The sequence below is a fragment of the Homo sapiens genome, chromosome 9 (genome assembly GCF_000001405.40).
Source record: "Homo sapiens chromosome 9, GRCh38.p14 Primary Assembly".
In the NCBI taxonomy this organism is placed as follows: Eukaryota; Metazoa; Chordata; class Mammalia; order Primates; family Hominidae; genus Homo; species Homo sapiens.
The window spans coordinates 132277939-132302847 of NC_000009.12; the positions used below are offsets into that span (position 1 = coordinate 132277939).

The 24909-nt window shown below is 40.4% G+C and overlaps 1 protein-coding gene across 11 annotated transcripts in view, besides 2 other annotated features; it reads right to left on the bottom strand.

Moving 5' to 3' along the window:
- The window catches only part of SETX (senataxin), a 95389-nt gene that overhangs the window by 16583 nt on the left and 53897 nt on the right, over positions 1 to 24909 (bottom strand). For 10 of the 11 annotated variants that reach the window (XM_005272172.4, XM_011518404.4, NM_015046.7 and 7 more), the window contains 10 exons: positions 22692 to 22865; positions 20142 to 20374; positions 18949 to 19116; positions 17934 to 18090; positions 10612 to 10713; positions 10298 to 10413; positions 8485 to 8556; positions 5326 to 5475; positions 3529 to 3636; positions 132 to 319 (listed from right to left, as the gene is read on the bottom strand). In XM_005272172.4, the coding sequence (XP_005272229.1) occupies positions 132 to 319; positions 3529 to 3636; positions 5326 to 5475; positions 8485 to 8556; positions 10298 to 10413; positions 10612 to 10713; positions 17934 to 18090; positions 18949 to 19116; positions 20142 to 20374; positions 22692 to 22865 (1468 nt within the window). Of the gene's footprint in view, positions 1 to 131; positions 320 to 3528; positions 3637 to 5280; positions 5476 to 8484; positions 8557 to 10297; positions 10414 to 10611; positions 10714 to 17933; positions 18091 to 18948; positions 19117 to 20141; positions 20375 to 22691; positions 22866 to 24909 lie in introns of those variants that run through there. The other variant, XM_011518408.4, reaches the window with a different exon arrangement.
- Positions 17897 to 18397: an enhancer, noted in NCBI's record as "H3K4me1 hESC enhancer chr9:135171222-135171722 (GRCh37/hg19 assembly coordinates)". NCBI's record gives its function as "activates a minimal SCP1, AML or CMV promoter by ChIP-STARR-seq in primed H9 embryonic stem cells {active_cell/tissue: H9 hESC(primed)}" and the evidence as "EXISTENCE:reporter gene assay evidence [ECO:0000049][PMID:30033119]".
- Positions 18398 to 18898: an enhancer, noted in NCBI's record as "H3K4me1 hESC enhancer chr9:135171723-135172223 (GRCh37/hg19 assembly coordinates)". NCBI's record gives its function as "activates a minimal SCP1, AML or CMV promoter by ChIP-STARR-seq in primed H9 embryonic stem cells {active_cell/tissue: H9 hESC(primed)}" and the evidence as "EXISTENCE:reporter gene assay evidence [ECO:0000049][PMID:30033119]".

A 24909-nucleotide genomic window follows, 5' to 3' on the forward strand; every position in this document is an offset into this window, starting at 1 on the left:
CAGGACAAAATTATTAACCCTTCATGATTTATGCTTTTTATGACAAGACCTAAGACGACAGTAAAATGTCTATTCTTCATAAGTAGCTAAACTACAACAAAATAAGGTCACAAACAATAAGGGGAACTCACCTATTTGTTTTTAAGTTTCTGTTATAAACATAATTAGAAGGGAAGAGGCATATGTCTGGATGCATCCTGTACTGAACAGTGAGCTGTAGAATGGGCAGCCTGCTGATCATGTTGTGTTCTACATTCTCTTCCAGCAGTCTGCAGAAGCGAGCCATCATTGACTGGTCGTAGCCATACTCCTGTGCTTTCTGTGAGGGGCAAAATAAAGCAACAGTTTCCAAGAATTCATTTATATCTTTCCCACTATTATAAACACAATTACTGAGATCTAATACGTATATGGCAACGTTCAGGTAGCATAAGATTACCAACCACAGCTTCAGAGAAAAAAGGTGTTTCTGACTCTGAGCCTCAAAATGCCATGAATCTTTTTTTTTTTTTTTTTTTTTTTTTTTTTTTTTTGGAGACACAGTCTCGCTCTGTCACCCAGGCTGGAGTGCAGTGGCGTGATCTCAGCTCACTGCATCCTTCACCTCCCAGGTTCAAGCGATTCTCATGTCTCTGGCCTCCTGAGTAGCTGGGATAACAGGAATGAGCCACCACACCTGGCCAAAATGCCATGAATCTTGAATATATGTGGAGGTCTTTTCTACTCATATACTGCTAATGAAAGAGATATGATCTTGTGAAAGACAACTGATGCTATTTTGATGCTACAAGACGCCACCCAAAAAAACCAGTAATAAAGGAAATGTAACACAGATTTTAACAATTATTTCTGGGGGTACACCCTCACAGACAGACATATTGAATGCCACTGTAAACAAGCCTTTTGAAGACAAAATTCTTCATTCATCCATCTAATATGTACTAAGCATCTATAATTTGAAGTGCTAAGACCACTAGAGTGAATAAGATGAAGTCTCACAGGACTTAATTTCCAGTGAAGGAAACAGACTCGACTTATGTGTTGACCATCCCTAATCCAAAAATCCAAAATACTCCAATGAGCATATCCTTCGAGCGTGAACTTTAAGCATAAAGTCAGCACTTGGGAAGTTTCAGATGGTGAAGCATTTCAAATTTTTGAATTAGGAACGCCGAAGCTGTGCTAAATGGATTTCACAAACCAAATAATGGGTTATATTCTGCAATCTGAAAAACAGTGACCTAAGTGACAAGTGGGATAAACTGTCTTGATGTTACCACAGTTGTGCCTTGGGATCTACTTTCCGATGGCAGCAACACAGAAAGTTTCAAAAAGGGGAGGGGGAGGGATAGCATTAGGAGATACACCTAATGTAAATGACGAGTTAATGGGTGCAGCACACCAACATGGCACATGTATACATATGTAACAAACCTGCATGTTGTGAACATGTACCCTAGAACTTAAAGTATAATTAAAAAAGAAAAGTTTCAAAAAGTACTTTATCTTAAATAACCCTGAAGTAAAAATGTGCTGAAAACTTCACTAAGATGATGGAATCTTCATGAGTGATGTGAAAGATACTGGCACTGAAGACGTGCAAAGCCTGAATAAACTTGTTTCACAAACTATGGGAGTGGAAGAAAGGCATTACTTCTTAACCTATTTATATGTGTGATTTTAAACAGGTTTGTGAAAGCATAAAATAATTATTAATAGATACATGCCAATTTTCCCTAAATCCTCAAAAGTTTATCTGCGTTAGCTCACAAAACCTAATTTTTAATCTTTTCTTTGGGGAAACAGAAAAGGAAGTTATGTAAGGTAACGCATCTACCTCCAGACAAAACCTTAGTCCATTCTACAAATGACATAGATTTATTAATATATATTCTGACATGGGAGGATGTCCCTGATTTACTGATTGAAAAAAAAACCAATTCTGCACAGAATGATTTTGCCACCTTTAAACAAAACCAAACCCACGTACATATACACATAAACATATACATGTATACAAACCATATACCACTTTTTAGTAACTGACTCACTGTTAACCCCTAGAATACAAACACCATAAGGGCAGGGATTTTGTCTGTTTTCTTCACTGTCATAACCCCAGCCCCTAAACAGTGCCTGAATTATGGTGGCACTCAATATATACATACTGAAAAAGACGAATAAACACACAAATGCCTAGCAATATCTGTTAAAAATACTCACTTTCACTGTAATTACCACTAGAAACAGGTGGTCAAAAAAGGCACCTTATGGAAATGAACTTTGTAATTATTTTCTCAAAATAGCCTGTTTTATTTGTACAACAATTTAAACAGCACAAATGGATTTTTTTTTTCTAATTTTTGTTGTTTTTATCAATCATTGAAGTAGGCAGTAAAGTTGAGGCCCATTAACAATCTCTCTTTTCACTATATGCCAAGGCCCTTCAATGAAATCCTGCATCATTTAAAGAAATGGGATACAGAATTTGCTCTTCATTATTCTCCGTGAACAAAGTTACCTGCAGCAGTTCTTCCCTACACACACGGGTTTTCACTGGGTGACGGGTGTGCTTCTGGGCCACACTCTAACATGATCATGTACCTGCGCTCAAATGTCATACAAAGAACTGCACTATCATTCTGAATAATTCCGAAATCAAAAACCACTAACGATAACCACCTGCATTCATTCCAAGCTTCAACAAAAATGCTTTGAAAATGATCTGTTCTCTAGGATTATTTATGAAGCCACTGCTCAATTATCTGTATAAATAATCTATGTTATTAGTAAAAAATACACATTTCATTAAATTTCAAAACCTCTTCAGATTACTTCAAAACATCTACTGGATCCTGATTCTAATGTGCATTTCCAGGAGAATCTTTCATGAGATTAAAAAAAACCAACAGAGAAGAGTAGACTACAGTCTGGTTCTTCTCTTCCCAAAGTCAGAGCTTGTAATTGAGTCTTTTTTTCCCCTGTACCTTCACTTTCAGATGATGTGAAGGGCACAGACATGTTCTTGTATTAACACTAGAATACCAAATTCTAAAAATGGAAATGTACTCCAAAATTAATTTAACTTCATGTTTTCCTCAATTTGTACATATTTAAACAAAAATGAGGAGGGTAGGATTCTTCTCTTTATTTCTGAAGTTTTTCTTTTATTATTGTTTTGGTGTTTGTATGATTAAAATAAATCAGATTCAGCTCTTAAGAGACTTAAAAAAGGCAGACATGCACACTGCCTTTCCCAAAGCTTGGTTTCCATGGCACGTCATCCATCTAGGCTTCCAAGTCCCTGCCACACTGCTTCTGCCACACATACACAGAAGAACAACTATGACCAAATGGACATTTTTAGGCATTTTTTAAAATTTATTAAGTGCTTCTCTTTTCTTAGTTACTGCTTACTTTTCCCTCCAAATTAAGAGGCCAATCCAAGAAAGATGTCTCTCCCTCCTGAAAACAAAAATTTTAAAAAGCCCCTTCCATTTTAAAGCAATCTGAACATAAAAAACTTACCATAGAGATGACTGTCGGAGGGAGCTGCTTAGGATCTCCTACTAGGATGAGCTTATTGCAGCGATGGATGAGTGGAGTAAGAGTCTCAATTTCACAAGACTGTCCAGCCTTGGTAAGATACAGAAGAGAGAGGCAGTCTTAACAATCTTTGCTATTTATCCATATAGTTTATCTGATTAAAGTTCTAACCATTCAGAAAAGTATCACACTTCTCCTGCACCAAATATCAAAAATACAAATTTTCCCTGAAAACAAAAAAACAAAACAAAACCAACAAAATAAACCCTCCAGGCTGTGTGCAGTGGCTAACACACGTAATGCCAGCACTTTGGGAGGCCGAGGTGGGTGGATCACCTGAGGTCCGGAGTTCAAGACCAGCCTGGCCAACATGGCGCAACCAAAAAAATTAGCTGGGCGTGGTGGCAAGTGCCTGTAATCCCAGCTACTTGGGAGGCTGAGGCAGGAGAACTGCTTGAACCCAGGAGGCAGAGGTTGCAGTGAGCCGAGATCACATCACTGCACTCCGGTCTGGGTGAGTGCAGACTCCGTCTCTAAAAAAAAAAAAAAAAAAAGCAAGACTCCGTCTCAAAAAAAACAATAAATAAATAAAAAGTAAACTCTCCAAACATGTCTAAAAAAAAAATCAAACTTGTATTTTTGAAGTCAGCCACCAACGGGGCCACTACCACTTGGGAACCAGCCGTAAGTTCAGAAGGCCATGCACATCCTAGATGCGTGCTTTTTGTTCCTGCTGGGCATGAGCCTGAAAAATTTTTCTCCTTTAAAGTCCTTTTAAAACTTTATTTTAAATTTTTTATTTATTTTTTAACTTATTTTTTTTTTTTTTGAGAGAGAGAGTCTCACTCTGTCACCCAGGCTGGAGGGCAATGACATGATCGTTGTTCACCGCCTCCCGGGCTCAAGCAATCCTCCCACCTCAGCCTCCCGAATAACTGGAATGACAGGCACACACCATCAACTCCTGGCTCATTTTTGTCTTTTTAGTAGAGACAAGGTTTCACCATGTTGCCCAGGTTGGTCTCAAACTCCTGGGCTCAAGCGATCCACCCTCCTCAGTCTCCCAAAGTGCCAGGATTACAGGTGTGCACCACCATGCCCAGGCCCTTTTCAAAACTTTGTATTTGAGGTTCAGAAATCACATTAGGAGCGTCCATGAGTGTGTTTCCCCATATCTTTCTTCCTTGTTCCTCAGCATGCCTCTTTGATGACAAGACTCAAATTTCTCTTAAATTCAATGACATTTTCTTCAACTATTTAATCATTTCCACTTTTTGTCCTTTCCTTCTGGTGAAAACTGGATCTTGGGTCTCCTGATCACTCAATTCTCTGGTATCTCCTGCTCCATCTCTTTTGTCTTCTGACTCTACGTTCTGACAAACAGTACGTACCCAATAAATGTTTGCTCAAAGAGTGAACTAGGAATAAAAGACATCAGGTGAACATACTGTGGCTCAAAGCTATCCAAAATTATATTAAAACTACTTCAAAAGGTTACCAGAGATATTCTAAGCAGGAGTGAGACAGTCACTCAGCAGAGATTTTGTTAGAAACCATCAGTCATCCTCAAGACTAACCCCCAATACTGGAAAATCCACTTTCACTATGGAGGGTCATTAAGGAGTATATTTCTACATAAGGGAATACACAGGTAATAGCAAGTGAAAATCAGATGCAAAAAAAAAAAACACATTTCCTCAACATTTCAGCAGCCACAATTCATCTAAGACTTACTCCTCATAGTAGTAGTCAAAGTTGTATGGCTGACCGTTCACTGACCTCATCAACAATGACACAGCTGAAGGGGACACCCCCTTGCCCACGGAAAGCAGACTCAAGTAGTAAACCACCACTTGTGCTCAACGTGCAGCAGATGATATGGGACTCTAAGATGATGATACTCTGTGTTTTCTGTGGGCGTCCTTGAACCTAAGAGAACAAAGGTTAAATCAATATTCAGCTGTACATCAATCCTTGACTATGACAGGCCTATGTTTACTATAAAACACTCACTATTTATTAAAATAGATTTATGACAGAAAAATATTTAGTAAAAGTTAGGGGAAACCCTCAAATCTAGGAAACAGCAGAAACATTTAAGATAATCACAAAGCAGAAAGAATGTGTGCTTCGCGGCTGAAACACAGAATATGATTTAAGCACATTAAAAATTTTTATCCAGGGTTTGATTTGGTCAAAGTAGATTACAATCCTTCCTGTAGTCAGATATATGTAGGTAGGTATCTGAAGTAGAGATGTAATAATTCTGAGTTGTGAATTATATGAGTAAAACCAGGGGTGGAATTCAGCCTGAATGTACATTTTTCTGTTAGTTTTTAAGTATATAATATTGCCCTGTCTTTTTTTAGTGCTTTTGCTAGTACTAACAAAAATGCCTGTGAACCTGACAAATCCTCTATTTCCACAGTAAGGAACAGTCTGGTCTCCCTCTCTAACGCAGTGTGCTGTGATGGAGCCGGACGTGAGTGACGCCTCACAGTCACACCTACACTGCTCAGTCAATCAGCATTTCCAGCAGAGATTCAGTTTGCTGCTTTTTGCTACTAAGAAGTAGTGGTGATTCATCTCAGCACATACGATATATTCAACCATGGAATTCAAGGCATTCGTGTGAGCTTTAGGAAGAGGGTGGCACTGTGGTCCTCCACGGCTCACACAGTAAAGCACTGTCAGACACTGTCCTCAGCCACCTAGTGAGTACAACTGCTGAGCATAGTTTCATGGCCCACAGAACACATGTGATGAGCAGCAAAAAACATCTGTGAAGATGGACTTCATCCTTGACTCAGGAAAGATTAATCTGGGGTTCTGTTTAAAATCTGATTAAAATCTGTTTAATCAAAAGCTTTCACATAACTTTTAGTTTAAATAAACTGCTAATGAAAATATGCATTAAATTCAACTATATTTTAGTCACATAGAGAAAGATCATAATCCATTCAGGAGGAAACTTCAGCAAAAATACTACTAACGTCATCAGTTACTATTACCCTCTTTCCCTGACCCCAGTGTGGTTTGATTAGGGCTGCATTCTGACAATCAGGGTATACACCTGGCTCGGCCAAGCTTCAATGAGTCTAAATCTTACAGGATATTTTCACATCCAAAAAATACTGGAGAAAAGCTACAAAATGTTACAGGAGTCTTATGATCCAACACAAGTACAGGGAGTTTATGCTCTAACCCAAGAATTGCAAAAAACAAAAACCAAATATCAAAGTGCTGTACTTTCTTTTGCCGAATTCTGCCCACCATCACTCTACTTCTATCCAGGTTGGAGCTCTGGAGGGCTCACAGTTGCCACCCTCATCCTAAAGCTCATACAGGTGACTTTTTTTTTTTAATAGTGAAAACACCCACAAAGCTATTTTTTTTGTTGTTTTTTTTTTTTGAGACGGAGTCTCGCTCTGTCACCCAGGCTGGAGTGCAGTGGCGCGATCTCCACTCACTGCAAGCTCTGCCTCCCAGGTTCACGCCATTCTCCTGCCTCAGGCTCCCGAGTAGGTGGGATTACAGGTGCCCACCACCACGCCCAGCTAATTTTTTGTATTTTATTAGAGACGGGGTTTCACTGTGTTAGCCAGGATGGTCTCAATCTCCTGACCTCGTGATCCGCCCGCCTCGGCCTCCCAAAGTGCTGGGAGTACAGGCGTGAGCCACCGCGCCTGGCCAAAGCTATTTTCATTAACTGTTTATCTGATGATAATTATCATAATTGTTTTTTGCAGTTTATGGGAAGCAGAAATAGAGCACCTTATAAGAAAGAATTTAAATATTTACCAGACTTAAAACAAAAAAGATAACTTATAACCACCTCTTAGAAATCTTAGATGGTGGTAAGAATTCATTCTTAGGTTAAAGAAAAAAATGCAAATGTTGTTACACCATTTTCTCCACTTCCACAGATGTTTGTAATTTTTCATAACAATTTAAAATGTAACTGAGAAAAGCCCATAGCTGGCCAGGCATGGTGGCTCACGCCTGTAATGCCAACACTTTGGGAGGCCGAGACGGGGGATGACTTGAGGTTGGACGTTCCAGACCAGCATGGCCAACATGGTGAAACCCCATCTCTATTAAAAATACAAAAAAAGGGCCAGGCATGGTGGCTCACGCCTGTAATCCCAGCACTTAGGGAGGCCGAGGTGGGCGGATCACAACGTCATGAGATGGAGACCATCCTGGCCAACATGGTGAAACCCCATCTCTACTAAAAATACAAAATTTAGTCGGGCGTGGTGGCGCACACCTGTAGTCCCAGCTACTCGGGAGGCTGAGGCAGGAGAATCACTTGAACCTGGGAGGCAGAGGTTGCAGTGAGCTGAGATTGTGCCACTGCACTCCAGCCTGGCAACAGAGTGAGACTCTGTCTCAAAAAAAAAAAAACACAAAAGAGGCCAGGTGTGGTGCCTCACGCCTGTAATCCCAGCACTTTGAGGGAGGCTGAGGCAGGAGGATCATGACGTCAAGAGATCCAGACCATCCTGGCCAACACGGTGAAACCCCGTCTCTACTAACAATGCAAAAATTAGCTGGGCGTGGTGGCACACGCCTGTAATCCTAGCTACTCGGGAGGCTGAGGCAGGAGAATCGCTTGAACCCGGGAGGCAGAGGTTGCAGTGAGCCAAGATCACGCCACTATACTCCAGTCTGGTGACAGAGCAAGACTTCACCTCAAAAAAAAAAAAAAAAAAAAATTAGCCAGGCATGGTGGTGCACGCCTGTAATCCCAGCCACATGGGAGACTGAGGTTGCAGTGAGCTGAGATCATGCCACTGCACCCCAGCCTGAGAGACAGAGTGAGACTCTGTCTCCAAAATAAATAAATAAAAGCCCATAGCTTGTCTGAACAGTCATACTTAAATTTTAAAAAGAAAAAAAAAAAAATCAAGAAAATGCTACAGGTGAACTACTTACCTCTTTAATTTTAGAAGCAAGTTCCTGCCTTTCCTTAGAAACTTTGGAAATGTTTTCATCTAATTCTTGCCTCTGGAAAAAAATTCAAATGTCACAATTAAAACTAAACTAAGCATTTTTAAATGCCTTCCAATGGACTACCTCTAATTTTAAAAGAGCCTGTATTTCACCAATGAAAAATGTATTTACCCAGCTTATTTCCTCTTTACCACTGGAGTCCTGACACACTCTGTATGCTGCTGCGTAAGACTCAGCTGTGTTCTGTGCGCTGCACGTGAGCTGTCTGCTTAGCATTCCAGCACTGGGAGCATCACGCCACCCTTAACTTCCAGGTGATTCAAATGAGGCTGTAAATCACACCCCAACCATTCCTCTGGCCACAGTGATGGGCATCTAACACAGGCCTGGCCAATCATGCACCCATCTTCTTAAAAATAGGGATTAGACCTGCTTGCTCACCCAGGGACTAAACTAACTGCTTCTTTGGATATATGGATGCTAAGAGAAAGACTTTCTCTCCCTCTGGGGTTTCAAAGCTGAGATGGTGGAAGCCCTGAGATGCTGACACTCACCTTTCTCAGAAGAAATGGCTGACACACAGAAAAACAAATTATGGAGTGGAGAAATGATATCATGTGACCCTCTGGATCCACCCATACTGAAGCTAATTCCCTTTCTGTCTAACCTAATTTGAACTGGGCTCAACATGCAACTGAAAGGCAACTAATAAACTCAGTATAGCTTTAATATAAGGCAGTACAGCCTATAAGCCAAATGCAAGGCCATGTGCAGGGACTCATGCCTGTAATCCTGGCACTTTGGGAGGCTAAGGTGAGAGGACTGCTTGAGGCAAGAAGTTCAGACCACCCTGGGCAACATGGCAAGACCCAGTTTCTACAGAAAACAAACAAAAAAATTAGCCAGGCATGATGGCACACGGCTGTAGTCCCAGCTACTCAAGAGGCTGAGGCAGAAAGACAGCTCACTTGAGTCCAAGAGCTTGAGGCTAAATTGAACCACAACTGCACCACTGCACTCCAGCCTGGGCCACAAAGTGAGACCCTATCTCAAAAACAAACAAAAACGCAACACCCCATCTATTTTCGTAAATAAAGTTCTACTGGAACACAGCCACATCCATTTGTTTATGTATTATCTATGGCTGCCTTTGTGCTACCAAAAGCAGAGTTGAATAGCTGCAACAGAAACCAACCATATGGCTTGCAAAGCCTAAAATCTTTACTAGAATATCTTGCCCTTTACAAAAAAGTTTTTAAAAAGATTTTTAACAAAAGTAATTTTAATAAAAGAAAAAATGAAAAAAAAAATTAAAACCAAAAGGACAAAAAAAAAAAAAGCAGAAAGAAATGTGTTAATCTGAGACACATTTTTAGTGTCTTAGTACACATTTTTATACATGAATCATGCCATTCCCCAATAAATAAAGGGCATTAAATACTCATTAATTAGGCTGGTCGCAATGGCTCATGCCTGTAATCCCAGCACTTTGGGATGCTGAGGTGGGCAGATCAACTTGAGGCCGGGAGTTCGAGACTAGCCTGGCCAACATGGTGAAACCCCATCTCCATTAAAAATACAGAAAATTAGCCAGGTGTGCCGGCACAACCTTGTAATCCCACCTACTCGGGAGGCTGAGGCAGGAGGATCACCTGAACCCAGGAAGGTGAGGCTGCAGTGAGTCAGGATTGTGCTACTGCACTCCAGCCTGGAAGACAGAGCAAGACTCTGTCTCAAAAAAAACTTGTTAACTAGTTCGTATACCTGAGTTATTATTCAAGAAATGCAAAGATACCTGTATTTCCCGTCCACCTCGGCATAGAGCTCGCTGCCGGGAAAGCTCATCCAGCTGATAATCTAGAAATTCCTTTCTTTTATGCATCGCCTGAACATGAGAAGGTAACTCTTTTTCTAATAAAAATAACAAATAAAAAATTATATGCTATTCTAATTCTAACAAACTCACACACATATACAACACAATGAGAAGGAAAATTAGTTCCCAAAGCCAGACTAATTCTGGAGGCTTCAAATTACCTTTAGTGCCCAAGTCATTTTCCACCAAACAAAACAGAGAAAACACTAGTATATACCACATTCAGTACTTACTCATTCTGTGGTTTACTTGGCTGTCCAAACTGAACTTTAGAACCTCACTATTAATAGACTTTTCTGGACCCAGTCGTACTAAATTTATATCTCCACAGTTTCCTGTTGATAAGAATCACAGTTAAGGACTAATAAGGACACTGCTGATCAATCCTGTCTCTATACATAGTATCTATATTTCTAAGTAAATATGTTAATAATCAGAGAAGGGAGCAAACATGAACTTCCAATTAACCAGACACCAGGGACTACACCACAAACTTCTTATACATTATTTCAGATATTGTTCCTAACAATCCTATAAGGCAAGTAGTTATCATTTCTACCTAATAAAGGTTAGCAAGGCCATCTAAACAGTACACTACAGAGTTGAGATTCTATTACAGTAACATTTTCAAACTATGTTCAGTAGGACATTCCATAGCAAAATAGTTTCAAGAAAAATGATGAGATAAAATAAACGAAGCAGTTCTCTCATGTTGGGGAAAGGGCTTGTGGGGTGCCTGCATAAACCAGCCATAAAAATATGGAACAGTAAGTTGTAGAAAGCCACAAGAGGCCTCTGAGGAGTAAAGCCTTCTAATTGCCATCATGTTCCCATGACCAGAATGTGACCTGCTCTCCTATCTATAAACACTGTGCTCAAGGAGAAAGATACTCCTTTGAAGCACTGGAATGTGGCCAGATATGCCAGCTCCTAGTTAGGCCCACTCCCCACAGCTGCTCTCTGATAAGTTAAAAAATAAATCAGTAGTTAAGTTTATACTGCTTCAGCACAAAGAAAATTTACCTAAACCGCCATTCCTATACATTAGGTGTATGACACACGGCTCTCCTTTCACCATTTCACTATTTATTTCAATAAATAGTGTGGAGATCATAGCTTGGAGCCTTTGCAGCCTCTGATTTGCTCTGGCCCCCTGGTTCCCTCCTTTATGAACTCTTAACCTGTCTCTTCTCATTTCTTTGTCACCACTGCACTTCGGGTACCCTACGGGTGGTATTGAGGCTGATCCCCAACACTCTTAACTGCAGAATATTTCAAAAACTTTTATATGTTATATATTAATATGTAATTTTCAGAACAGAATCTTATTTGACCATCGAGCCTTCTTTTGCAGAATACTCAGAATAAAGCTTTTAAAACTATGTTCCACATCACCTTGATACTCTAGAAACTAAGGGACACAAGATGATAGAAATTCTTGGATATAATAATTGCAAGAACTATAAAAACCAATTTAACCTGCCTGTTTACTAACCACATTTTAATCTCAGGTTAACACATTGCTTTCTTCTTGTCCTTTTGGTTTTAATGTTTTTGTTTTTTTCTTTTATTATAATTTCTTCTATTGGGTTTTTTAAAATCTTTTTTCTGACCAGGCACAATGGCTCACGCCTATAATCCCAGCACTTTGGGAGATATAAGTGGGCAAATCACTTGAGGTAAGGAGTTTGAGACGAGCCTGGCCAACATGGCAAAACCCCATTTCTACTAAAAATAAAAAAATTAGCCAGGCATGGTGGCACACACCTGTAATCTCAGCTACTCAGGAGGCTGAGGCTGGAAAGTTGCCTGAACCCAGGAGGTGGAAGTTGCAGTAAGCCAAAGATTGCACCACTGCACTCCAGCCTGGGTGACAGAGCAAGACTCCGTCTCAAAAAAACAAACAAAAAAACACCTTTATTCGTCTTTATTTTTTTTCCCACGTGTTATTATTTTATTTAAAAATTCTCCATTACAAGGCTGGGCACAGTGGCTCACACCTGTAATCCCAGCACTCTGGGAGGCCAAGGCAGGTGGATCACGAGGTCAGGGGTTTGAGACCAGCCTGGCCAACATGGTGAAACGCCATCTCTACTAAAAATACAAAAATTAGCTGGACGTAGTGGCACATGCCTGTAATCCTAGCTACTCGGGAGGCTGAGGCAGGAGAACTGCTTGAACCCAGAAGGTGGAGGTTGCGGTGAGCTGAAATCGCGCCACTGTACTCTGGCCTGGGAGACAGAGCGAGACTCCGTCTCAAAAAAAAAAAAAAAAAAAAAAAAAAATTCACCACTACAGCCAGGTGCAGCGGCTCAGGGCTGTAATCCTAGCACTTTGGGAGGCCAAGGTAGGCAGATCGCTTGAATCCAGGAGTCTGAGACCAGCCTGGGCAACATGATGAAACTCCACCTCTATCAAAATTGACAAAAATTAGCCAGGCGTGGTGGCCTCCCCCTGTGGTCCCAGCTACTTGGAAGGCAGAGATGGGGGTATTGCTTGAGCAGGGGAGGCAAGACCAGTTTCATAAATAAATAAATAAATAAATAAATATTCCCCACTATATCACTGGGCTAAATTATGCAATCATGTAGAGTTTGTCAGCATTTATTCTAATTGGACACGTCACAGTTATTTGTTTACTGTCTATCTCCATCCTTTAAATGTTAAGCCCCAAAAGAATAGGGTTTTGATCACCACCTAGAAGAGTGGTGGGCACATAATAAATACAATGATTATATGAAAAATGAATGGCTTATTTTTAGTTATCTACAGCATATTTTTTATCCCAGTTCAGCTCATTTTCCTAAATTTAAGGTCAACATTTACTTGAGGGTTTGAAAACCTTTTTTTTTTTTTTTTTTTTTTTTTGAGACGGAGTCTTGCTCTGTCTCCTAGGCTGGAGTGCAATGGCGCAATCTCGGCTCTCTGCAAGCTCCGCCTCCCGGGTTCACGCCATTCTCCTGCCTCAGCCTTCCGAATAGCTGCGACTACAGGCGCCCCCCACCACGCCCAGCTAATTTTTTGTATTTTTAGTAGAGATGGGGTTTCACTGTGTTAGCCAGGATGGTGTTGATCTCCTGACCTCGTGATCCACCTGCCTTGGCCTCCCAAAGTGCTGGGATTACAGGAGTGAGCCACCTCGCCCGGCCTGAAAATTTCTTAATTCACTTACGTTTCCACTAGAAAGGTAGATGAGATTACCTGGAAACCCACCTACTATAAGCACCCAGAAATGTTCCGCAAATTATAACAGATATCCTTTACACTGCTGGGTAAGCTCAGGGGAATGTTAAGAGAAATCCCTAGAGGCCAAAAACAGAGAGAGAGCTGAAAACCAGATTTGAAAGCCCCTGAGCTGTTGTGGCACCCGTAAGGGAGCAAGGCTGGGCAGTGTCTAGGTGCCTGGGTGTCTGTTTTGTTCTTTAACATTCTTGAGGTATAATTTACATTCAGTAAAATGAACAGACTTTAAAATTCTATTGAGTTTGACATTGCTAAAGCTACCATTCCAATAAAAACATATAAATTTCTACAATGGGAGCTTGCTAATGCCCACAAGAAAGTAGAGGGGCCTGAAAGAGGTGGAAGAATTAAAAACAAGTGTAATTATCTTGGCTTAGGCTCAGCTGGGCCAGGAAAAATGATTTTAATTAAAATATAAACTATTAATCAAGTGATTTAATTAAATTTAATTCCATCTATTAATTACTGATTTAGATAAAATAATTTTAAAATAATTTATTTTTTCTGGCTTACAAAAAATAAATTTTCTCCTTATACTTTCCTACCCCTAAGCCTGTGTCACATGTGCATTTAGGGAATAAATATATAATACAGCAAACGTGGTCAGGGGCAGTGTCTCATGCCTGTAATCCCAGCACCTTGGGAGGCTGAGGCAAGAGCATTGCTTGAAGCCAGCCTGGGCAACACGAGGAGACCCTGTCTCTACAACAAAAATTTAAAAATTAACCCAGTGTGATGGCAAACCTGCAGATCCAGCTACTTGGGAGGCTGAGGCAGGAAGATCACTTGAGCCCAGGAGGGCAAGGCTGCACTGAGCCATGATCATGCCAATGTACCCCAGCCTGAGCTGGGGTACAAAAAAAAAAAAAAAAAAAAAAGAAAACATGATTAGACTTATAATCATTAATGACATTTAAACAGCAAATAGAAATTTACTTATTCTGTTAAAAAAAAGACAACAAATAAAGACAACAAATACAATACTAATAACAAATTAGCCTTCAAGAAATAGACAAGCTGTCTTATACAAAACATTCCAAAGAATAACAAAAAAGTTCCCAACTCATTTTTTTTTTTTTTTTTTTTTGAGACAAGAGTCTCGCTCTGTCACCCAGGCTGGAGTGCAGTGGCGCGATCTCAGCTCACTGCAAGCTCCGCCTCCCGGGTTCACCCCATTCTCCTGCCTCAGCCTCCCGAGTAGCTAGGACTACAGTACTACAGGCACCCGCCACCACACCTGGCTAATTTTTTGTGTTTTCAGTAGAGACTGGGTTTCACCGTGTTAGCCAGGATGGTTTCGATCTCCTGACCTGGTGATCTGCCCGCCTCTGCCTCCCAAAGTGCTGGAATTACAGGCGTCAGCCACCGCACCTGGCCCCAACTCATTTTTTAAAGCCTGTGTAACTTCAATACTAAAACTAGACAAATACAGTGTAACAAAAATTACAGGCTGGCCTCATTTATGAACATTAATTTCAAAGTCCTAAATAAAACATTAGCAATCTAGCAGTGTATTAAAAACTAATACAAGACACCAAGGTGTCCTTATTCCCTAAGAATCAAAGATATTTTAACATCAGAAAAATACTATAATTTACCATATTAACAGATTAAAGAAAATTTTCATTACCATTTGAAGCATGCAATAAAATTCAACACCCATTCATAACAAAAACACTAATGAGAAAGCAACTCTTTAACCTGGTAACGGGTATACACAAAACCCAGAAGCATTATACTTAATGGAGAGACGTTCAAGTCATTTCCTTAAAGGAGACCCAGGACCACAGGAAATAGTGAAAATGAAAGTACTGAAAAAGAAAAAAAGGTCTCTGTACTCAGAGAGGATATCATTTGCTCTCTTATTTATTTATTTATTTAGAGGCAGTTTCACTCTTGTTGCCCAGGCTGGAGTTCAAGGGCGCGATCTCGGCTCACTGCAACCTCCACTTCCCGGGTTCAAGTGATTCTCCCGCCTCAGCCTCCCGAGAAGCTGAGATTACAGACCCGTGCCACGACGTGCAGCTAATTTGTATTTTTAGTAGGGACAGAGTTTCACCATGTTGGTCAGGCTGGTCTCAAACTCCTGACCTCAGGTGATCCATCCACCTTGGCCTCCCAAAGTGCTGGGATTATAAGCGTGCGCCACTGTGCCCAGCCTGCTAATTAAAAAAAAAATAAGGCTGGACGTGGTGGCTCATGCCTGTAACCCCAGCACTTTGGGAGGCCGAGGCAGGCAGATCACGAGGTCAGGAGATCGAGACCATCCTGGCTAACACGGTGAAACCCCGTCTCTACTAAAAAAATACAAAAAATTAGCCGGGTGTTGTGGCGGGCGCCTATAGTCCCAGCTACTCGGGAGGCTGAGGCAGGAGAATGGCGTGAACCTGAGAGGCGGAGCTTGCAGTGAGCCGAGATCGCGCCACTGCACTCCAGCCTGGGCGACAGGGTGAGACTCCGTCTCAAAAATAAATAAATAAATAAATAAATATCCAACCTAGACACCTCGTTTGCCTCACCTTAGTCCTGGCCCGGCTGTGCAGTCAACATACACCTGAAAAGCAGCTTAAGCTCACGCCACCAGGGAAAGTTAAATTAAAACTACCAACTGTACACTGCACAGGGACTGCTCTCAGGAGCTAACTGGTACAATCACTTTCAAGAAGAATTTGGCACTACCTAGAAAACTGAAGATGTACAAACTCTTGAACCCCCACATTTTCAATTCTAGATATACATATGCTAGATACCCATGTTTTAATAAAGTTTTGTAATGCTCAAGTTTGAAATAAAAAATTGAAAAGAAACTAAATTATCAATGAATAAATGTTGCACACCTTCAATGAAACACCCTATAGCAGTTAATATGAGTGACTGCAGCTATTCACAAAATCAATCTCACAAATGTAAAGGCAAGTGGAAAAAAGTAAATCAGAGACTGACAATGTATTGTATGTTTTAAGAGCAAATGAATTCTACGTGTAGGTAATACATATGTGATACAAAGGAAAATGTGTGTGATTCCTCAGAATAAAGATGACATGTTCCAGCCTCTCTTATACCTCGGTGTGGCCGAAAGGAAATAAGCAGAGGCGCTATTGGCAGGACCTAGAAACTTTCCTTGTAACATAGCTAGTATGTTCCCTCTGCCCCTTCTTCATCTTTTCCTCACACTTGCTGGAGCTGGAGCAGCTATCCTGACCGCAGGTGCACTCGAGAATGGAGGCCACACATGGTGAAGCAACCAGATGGAGGCTGGGTCTCCAAGGACTCTCTAAGGCAGAGTAGCCATACCAGTGACTCTGGTACCAGTTCTGAACTGCCCACCTCTGGGTTTTTGATTTTTAAAAAAAAGAAGTAAACTTCTGTTATATTTAAAAGCCACTGTATTTGGAGTCTGCTAAATCAAATCCTGTTAAAAGGCACTGTTAGGTATCCTTAAGGAAAACTAAATTTGGTAGGGAAGACAAGACATATGAGCTTGGAAAGGTCATCAAATACAAAGCCATAACTATACCACTCAACACAAGTGATATGAAAAATAAGTGTTAAGGTTAAATAAAATGAAATAATTTCACATCTTCACTTTAGTGCCCTGAATCATCCGTTGTAATGCTCATTATTATCTACATTCTACCGAAAAAAGTTATCCCTCTAGTGTATTTAACATTTCTAAGCTTCAGTTTCCCCACCTATAAAATACAGATGGTAGGGTTAACACCAAGTTCATGGGATTATTTTGAGAATTACTGACACACAGTCAACACTCAGTGACTGTAAACAATGACTGTTTTCACTGTTTTCAATAAGCTTGTGCTTACTCAAAGCCTCATCTTTCACCGCCACCTAATGCTCTGGGAACCTCAAGAACCATCTGAGGCTCTCTTGCCCTGATTCTTTTTTTTTATGGCAATCTCTGCTGCTCAAGTACTCCCTAACCCTCTACTGCCTGTGGCTAACTCCTAACTGCCCTTCTCTAACCCTCACACAACTGAATCAGGGTCCCCCTAAGGTGTGTGGAACACCCCACATTTTAGCCTCACTGTGGAACTTATCACTCTGTACTGACCTCTCCACTTCCTCACTAGGCCGTGTGTCTCCTTGAAGACTTCACTGATGAAACCTCAGTACCTGGCACAGGCCCTGGCACAGGGTAAATGTTCAATGAAATACTTGCTAAATGAACTCACAAGCCACAGATTCAAGTAGAAGCTATTACCAGGACTGGCCTGCTCTTTCCTTTGTCATTCAAAGTTGCCTACACTTAACACTGAAAACAAAAACAAATTTAAAATCCACAAAAGTATCATACCTAAAGGATTCTTCTTGTCTTTACATTTTTCTTTGAATTCAAGGATAATTTTTTTCATGAGTTCATCAACAGCTGCATTGGAAGGTGCACACACGAGGACACGGTTTTGTTTGATTTTGGCATTGGAGTTTTCGTCTGAATGCCCCTTCCTCTGGTTCTACAATTTGCCACATATACATACCAAACAAACACACAAAAAATATGGGTGAGCTCTATTACATAGCTTTAAAGTTTGTCTTTACTTCCATGTATTTTTGAAAGTTCTCGTAATAAAGTTAAAAATAAATAAAAGCATCTACATCTAACACTGATATTTAAAATTACTCCAGCAAAAAAATTTGTCATAACTGCTCTGAGCCTTACTTTATCATCCACTTACTTTAATGAATACTCAATCCAAGCCAGGCACAGTGGCTCACGCCTGTAATCCCAGCACTTCGGGAGGCCGAGGCGGGCGGATCACTTGAGGTCAGGAGCTCGAGACCAGCCTGGCCAACATGGCGAAACCCCATCTCTACTAAAAATACAAAAATTAGCTGTGGGTGGTGGTGTACGCCTGTAATCCCAGCCACTAGGGAGGTACTCGGGAGGCTGAGGCAGGAGAATCACTTGACCTGGGAGGCAGAGGTTGCTGTGAGTCAAGATCGTGCCACTGTACCCTAACCTGGATGACAGCGAGACACTGTCTCAAAAAAAAAAAACAAAAAACCACAATCCAACCAAAATGCAGCCCAGCATTCACAGCATTCTACGTGACCTACCGTGAAGCCTGAAGACCATCATTCTAGTCCTTACGATTTGTTTCACATAAGATAGTGGTTTTTTCCTCTTTTTATTTCCCATAACCTTCCCTCCCTCTGCCACCCTTTTCTCTGACACAGTTACACACAATATAAAAAATATATACAAATCAAAGAGGAAATGGCATGTTAATACTTATTTACATGTCAGTTAACTCAAGTAAAGTAAAATGATACAGCTAGTTAACAGCATCAGTGCCCTCACCCATACCTACCTCTGTCAGTAGACGATAGAGGAGGCCAACAATAGTTTTTGATTTTCCTGTTCCAGGTGGTCCATGAATCAAGCAGATTTTGGCAACTGATGGTGAGTGTTTCACCATAGCATATGCAGTTTCTATTGCTTTCTTTTGATCTTCATTGAAATCTCTTAAGTACGCAATCTATATAAAAAACACATTTTTGAGAATGAGTTGCTGTTTCTGTAGTGGAATTTGAAAGGAAGAACATGAAAAAGACCTGTCCAAATTTCTTTCAATGCATGAGACAAAAGCTTTGGTTATGGTCAGACAAGACAAGGACACCAAAGTGACCTTTAATCTAAAAAGCACGTTCACTACTGGAAAGAAAGCTAATTACTTACTAATTACTAATTAGTGTCTGTAACGCTTCAAGTACTTACAAATACAACTGTACTTTTATTTTTTATTCTTACAAAGATAATCACAATAAATTGCATTTACTAATCCACAACTTTTCTTCTATTTACTACTCTGTTTTTTTCCTTCTTTAGTCAATTTTCTCCTTAGTGAAAACATCCCAAGACTATTTATTTCCTAGCACATGTGATACAGTGGAAAAAGCATGTATGCCAGGGGAAGATCTGGGTGTAAGCTTCACTTGCACTTACAAGCTAGGCCACTACGCTCCTAACCCAAGCCTTGGCCTCTGTTACTCATTAAATCTAGGATTCCTTAAGAGGTGAGAACAGACTGAGATAATGCACATGAAAGCCATAGCATACAGCTCTAGAGTTTCTAAATAGTTAGTTTCCTTTTGCATTTCTCTGTTAACTTCCTAGAGTTTATACACAGCTTCACATGTTCAGTTGACAACTTCATCTTTGCATTTCCAACAATACCGGCCAATTCTCCATCAATCATTCAAATGTAAATTTAACACCACTAAACCTGAGACTTCTCACCTAATGCACATTAAGTAGGCTGCTGACCTAACATTTTAATGTTGCTCTTCCAGCAACCTTCGACGCTTATTGTACTGTACCTTTTCCTGAAGTGAGCTGACTTAACCTAAATTACATACTTTGCAATACTAAAGAAAACTAACACTAAACTGTTCACCGTGAACACATTTTTGTTGTAAACATATAGGAATACATAGCAGCTAAAAAATATGATGCTTTAACATCTTAACATGAAATTATCTAGTATCATACATCATCACTCACAATTCTCTCAGATGTTGTAGTCAGTAAATCTTTTGTACAGAAGTCCATAGGGTTTGGATTCAGAACAGCTCTAGCCAGTTGGTTCCGACTACCCAACAGAGACATGGCTTTCAACTTCCTTTGTGTAGTTACCAGAGAACTGATTACAATACAATTCACAAGTTCGTTTAAATTGGCCGGAAAGTTCTCTTGAGTCTGGATGGAAAGGTAACACTCAGTTTTCCCATTACGCACTATCATCAAGAAAGAGAAAAAGCAACTTCAGTTATCACTGAATAATGCTGCCTAGTTGTAAAGGTCATGCAGAATTAGGTATTTTTAACATATTTTTGGATATTATTTACATAATTTACCCAGTAAATATTTATGGACTGCTTCCTGAACCCAGTAATGTTCTGTCCTCCGGAGGCTTATTTTCTAGAAGATGGAGGCAGATAACCAAATAAATATGTCAGGTGGTAGTAAGTGCTCTGAAGAAAGCACACAAAGGGAGGAAGTGATGGGGATGGAGGCAGATAAGCTGGTCCGAGAAGGTCTTCCTGATGAAATATTTGAGCAGAGACTTGAAGTAAGGGAGTAAACAGTACTCAGCAGAGGGTAAATAGTACTACATGCAGAAAATAAGCAACTGCAAAGATCGTAAGACAGAGATGTGCCAGGAATATTTTAGAAATAGGGAGAAGGCTAACATGGATAGAAGGAAAAATAGGGAGAAGAACGCTTAGCGACTCAGAGTAAAACGGGGCTACATTTTATAGGGCTGTGCAGATCACAGTAATGACTCTGAACGCTATTCAGGATCAGGGTAGAAAACCATTGGGCACTCTGTGTAGGGAAATAACATGCTCTATCTCACAAACTAAAAGAACCACTCTTACCTCAGAACAAAGAATAACTACAATGAGAAAAGTACAGAAACAAAAAGACCACTTACAAGGTTACCATAGTAATTTAGGTAAAAGTTAATGACAGCTTGGACCAGGAGGCACTAGTAGACGTGGGAACTGGATTTGGGATATATTGCAAAGGAAAAATCAATCATATCTGCTGACAAATTAGAAGTGAGGTGTGAGAGAAAGTAAGGATCATGGATAACTCCAAGGTTTTTGGCCTGAGTAACTGAAAGAAGTGAGGCCCCAATTAACAAGATGGGAAAGAATGAAGGAAGTGCAGATGTCAGGCAGAAAATCAAGTGTTAACTTTTGGACTAGTGGATTTGAAATGTCTAACACATTTCCAAATGGAGGTATCCAAGACATGATTTTGATCTATGAGGAGTTCAGGGAATGAGACTGCCTTAGAACTATAAATTTGGCAAAGGTAATCATTTTCAAGAGCCAAAAGCACAGAGTAAGCCATCAATCCTCACTGCAACTCTTCTAAATGTATCCTATATTCTACAGAATTAAGCCCTGATCACACAAATAAACATGGTACACCTGTTATAATGCAGTACAATGTTGACACACTTTATTGCTATATTAATATATCATGCAAAAAGGAGAAGGAATAATGAAATAATGTTCTTCTCTTCACATAACTAAGACTAAAAAAGTTGCAATTGCCAAAAAGGCAGTTTGGCATAAGAAAAACAATGTGGACTTTGCAGTCAACAAAAGCAGGCTTCAATTCTGGACTTACCAATTAACACTGATGACAGCCTTGAAAATAGGTTTACTTAACATCCCTGAACCATGATTTCCTGGGGAGCAAGGAATAATTTCTTCTACCTTTTGGGGCTTTGGGGAAGATTATAAATGTACATAAGAAGGACAAGTCTCGGCTGGGCGCGGTGGCTCACGCCTGTAATCCCAGCACTTTGGGAGGTTGATGGGGGTGAGGAGTTCGAGACCAGCCTAGTCAACATGGTGAAACCCCGTCTCCACTAAAAACACAAAAAATTAGCCGGGACTGGTGGCGGATGCCTATAATCCCAGCTACTTGGGAAGCTGAGGCAGGAGAATCGCTTGAACCCAAGAGGCGGAGAGTGCAGTGAGCCGATACAGCACCACTGCACTCTAGCCTGGACAACAAGAGTGAAACTCCGTCTCAAAAAAAAAAAAAAAAAAAAAAAAAGGGACAAGTCTCACTGCATACATCTGGTATTCATTAAATTTAGGCTAATATTTTTGTTATTAAATTACCTAGGGAGAAACATACAACGGATGGAAGTGATGTAAGCAGATTCCTCAAGCTGCCTTACAGTGAGTTTTATGTTTGGTCATCTCATTAGTAATTGGCCACAAAACCAAGGATGAAATGTAATTTAACAAACAACAGATGGTCTGCAAATGGTCCATTTTATAGCAAACACAATGATGGATAAAGAAATGTAACAAAAGGATAGAACATTACAAAAATAAATACAAGGTCTTTTCCAGTTAAGTCTAGAAAAACTAGAAAAGAGACTCTGAATGGCCATGTAATCAACATAGCAAAAACATGTTCGGTAAATGTCTATCAAATACACTTGATATACACAATTGAGAAGTAGATTATTAGATGAGACTGTATCTGACATTTCCTGTCAATGCCTCATTATTTACTTACTGACTGACGTGCGGCGAAATTTATGAACATAACCAGAATGATATTCGTGGAGATCTTGTATGTCATTTCTCTCTGTATCTTTCTTCTCTTCATTTATTCTCTCAGGAGCTAAAAACACCAAATCGTTTTCCTTTGGATAAAGCTGTTTAGCCAGTTCACATTCTTCCAGATAAACTATGAAACAAGAAGAAGTCGGAATTCATATAACTCTAATAGAATTATTTTAAATAAGATTAACTTAAAAGAAATTAAATCCTTGTATTAAGTTCAAAAATACACAGCACTAAAGGACTCTGCATATACTTTAAAATGGTAATCTAATCCAATCAAAAACTTCAAATATTAAAAATATCAATTATAGAATATAGTTTTCTTCAAAACTGCTATAAGGCCAAAATAGACAAAACTATAATATTGAAAAGTAGCTAATAAATTTTCTTTCCTTTAGGTTTATTCTGCTTTTTTTTTTTTTTTTTTTTTTGAGATGGAGTCTCGCTGTGTTGCCCAGGCTGGAGTGCAGTGGCGCGATCTCGGGTCACTGCAAGCTCAGCCTCCCAGGTTCTCGCCATTCTCCTGCCTTAGCCTCCCAAATAGCTGGAGGCGCCCGCCACCACGCCCGGCTAATTTTTTTGTATTTTTAGTAGAGATGGGGTTTCACTGTGTTAGCCAGGATGGTCTCGATCTCCTGACCTCGTGATCCGCCCGCCTCAGCCTCCCAAAGTGCTGGGATTACAGGGGTGAGCCACTGTGCCTGGCCTATTCTGGTTTTTAACTAAATTTCTCTCATTTGTTTCCAACTTTCAAAACCCCCGAAGAAAATTCGGAAACAGATCCAAGTAGTTATACACCGCATAATGATGTTGTGGTCAGTGATGGACCGGATATATACAACAGTGGTCCCATAAGATTATAATATATTTTTACTGTATCTTTTCTATGTTTAGATACACAAATACTTCCCCATGTTACAATTACCTACAGTATTCAATACGGTAACATGCTGTACAGGTTGGCAGACTAGGTGTGTGGTAGGCTACACCGCCTAGGTTCCTCTAAGTACACTCTTACTTCTCATGATGTTGGCATGATGATGAAATCGCCTGACACATTTCTGAGAATGTATCCCCATCATTAAGTGACATGTGATTGTACATACAAGAATTTTGCAACTTCTACGCATTTCAAACAAGTGGGGAAAGACGGTTGTAAACTACATGGGACTAGGAAAACAGAGAAAGCACTGGAATAAAGTTCAGTACCAACTGCCGAATCTAGCCCTATACTCTGAAAAATACAAACCACTGCTGAGAGAAACTGAAGACAGCCTGAACAAATGAAGAAATGTACTAAGTTCAAGGCCTAAGACTTAATATTGTTAAAATGTCAGCTGTCCCCAAATTAATCTTTAGAGTCAAAGCAATCCTAGTAAAAATACCAGCAGATGGCCGCCAGGCACAGTGGCTCACGCCTGTAATCCCAGCACTCTGGGAGGCCAAGGCAGGTGGATCATGAGGTCAGGAGATCGAGAACATCCTGGCCAACACGGTGAAACCCCGTCTCTACTAAAAATACAAAAAATTAGCCGGGCATGGTGGCAGGCATCTGTAGTCCCAGCTACTCGGGAGGCCGAGGCAGGAGAATGACGTGAACCCAGGAGGCGGAGCTTGCAGTGAGCCGAGATCACACCACTGCACTCCAGCCTGGGTGACAGAGCAAGAATCCATCTCAAAAAAAAAAAAAAAAAAAAAGGCCAGGTGTGGTGGCTCACGCCTGTAATCCCAGCACTTTGGGAGGCCGAGACGGGCGGATCACCTGAGGTCAGGCGTTTGAGACCAGCCTGGCCAACATGGTGAAACCCCATCTCTACTAAAAATACAAAAATTAGCCAGGCGTCGTGGCAGGCGCCTGTAATCCCAGCTACTTGGGAGGCTGAGGCAGGAGAATCGCTTGAACCTGGGAGGTGGAGATTGCTGTGAGCCAAGATTGCGCCATTGCACTCCAGCCTGGGCAACAAGAGTGAGACTTTGTCTCAAAAAAAAAAAAAAAAAAAGCAAAAAAAAAAAAAAAAACCAGCAGGCATTTTTATAAATGTTGACAAGTTGATTCTAAAACTGATGACAATAAAAAGAAACTTTTTACAAAGAACAAAACTGAAAGGCTGACTATCCAATTTCAGTATTTTTTATAAAACAACAATAAGAGACTGTGGTATTGGTGG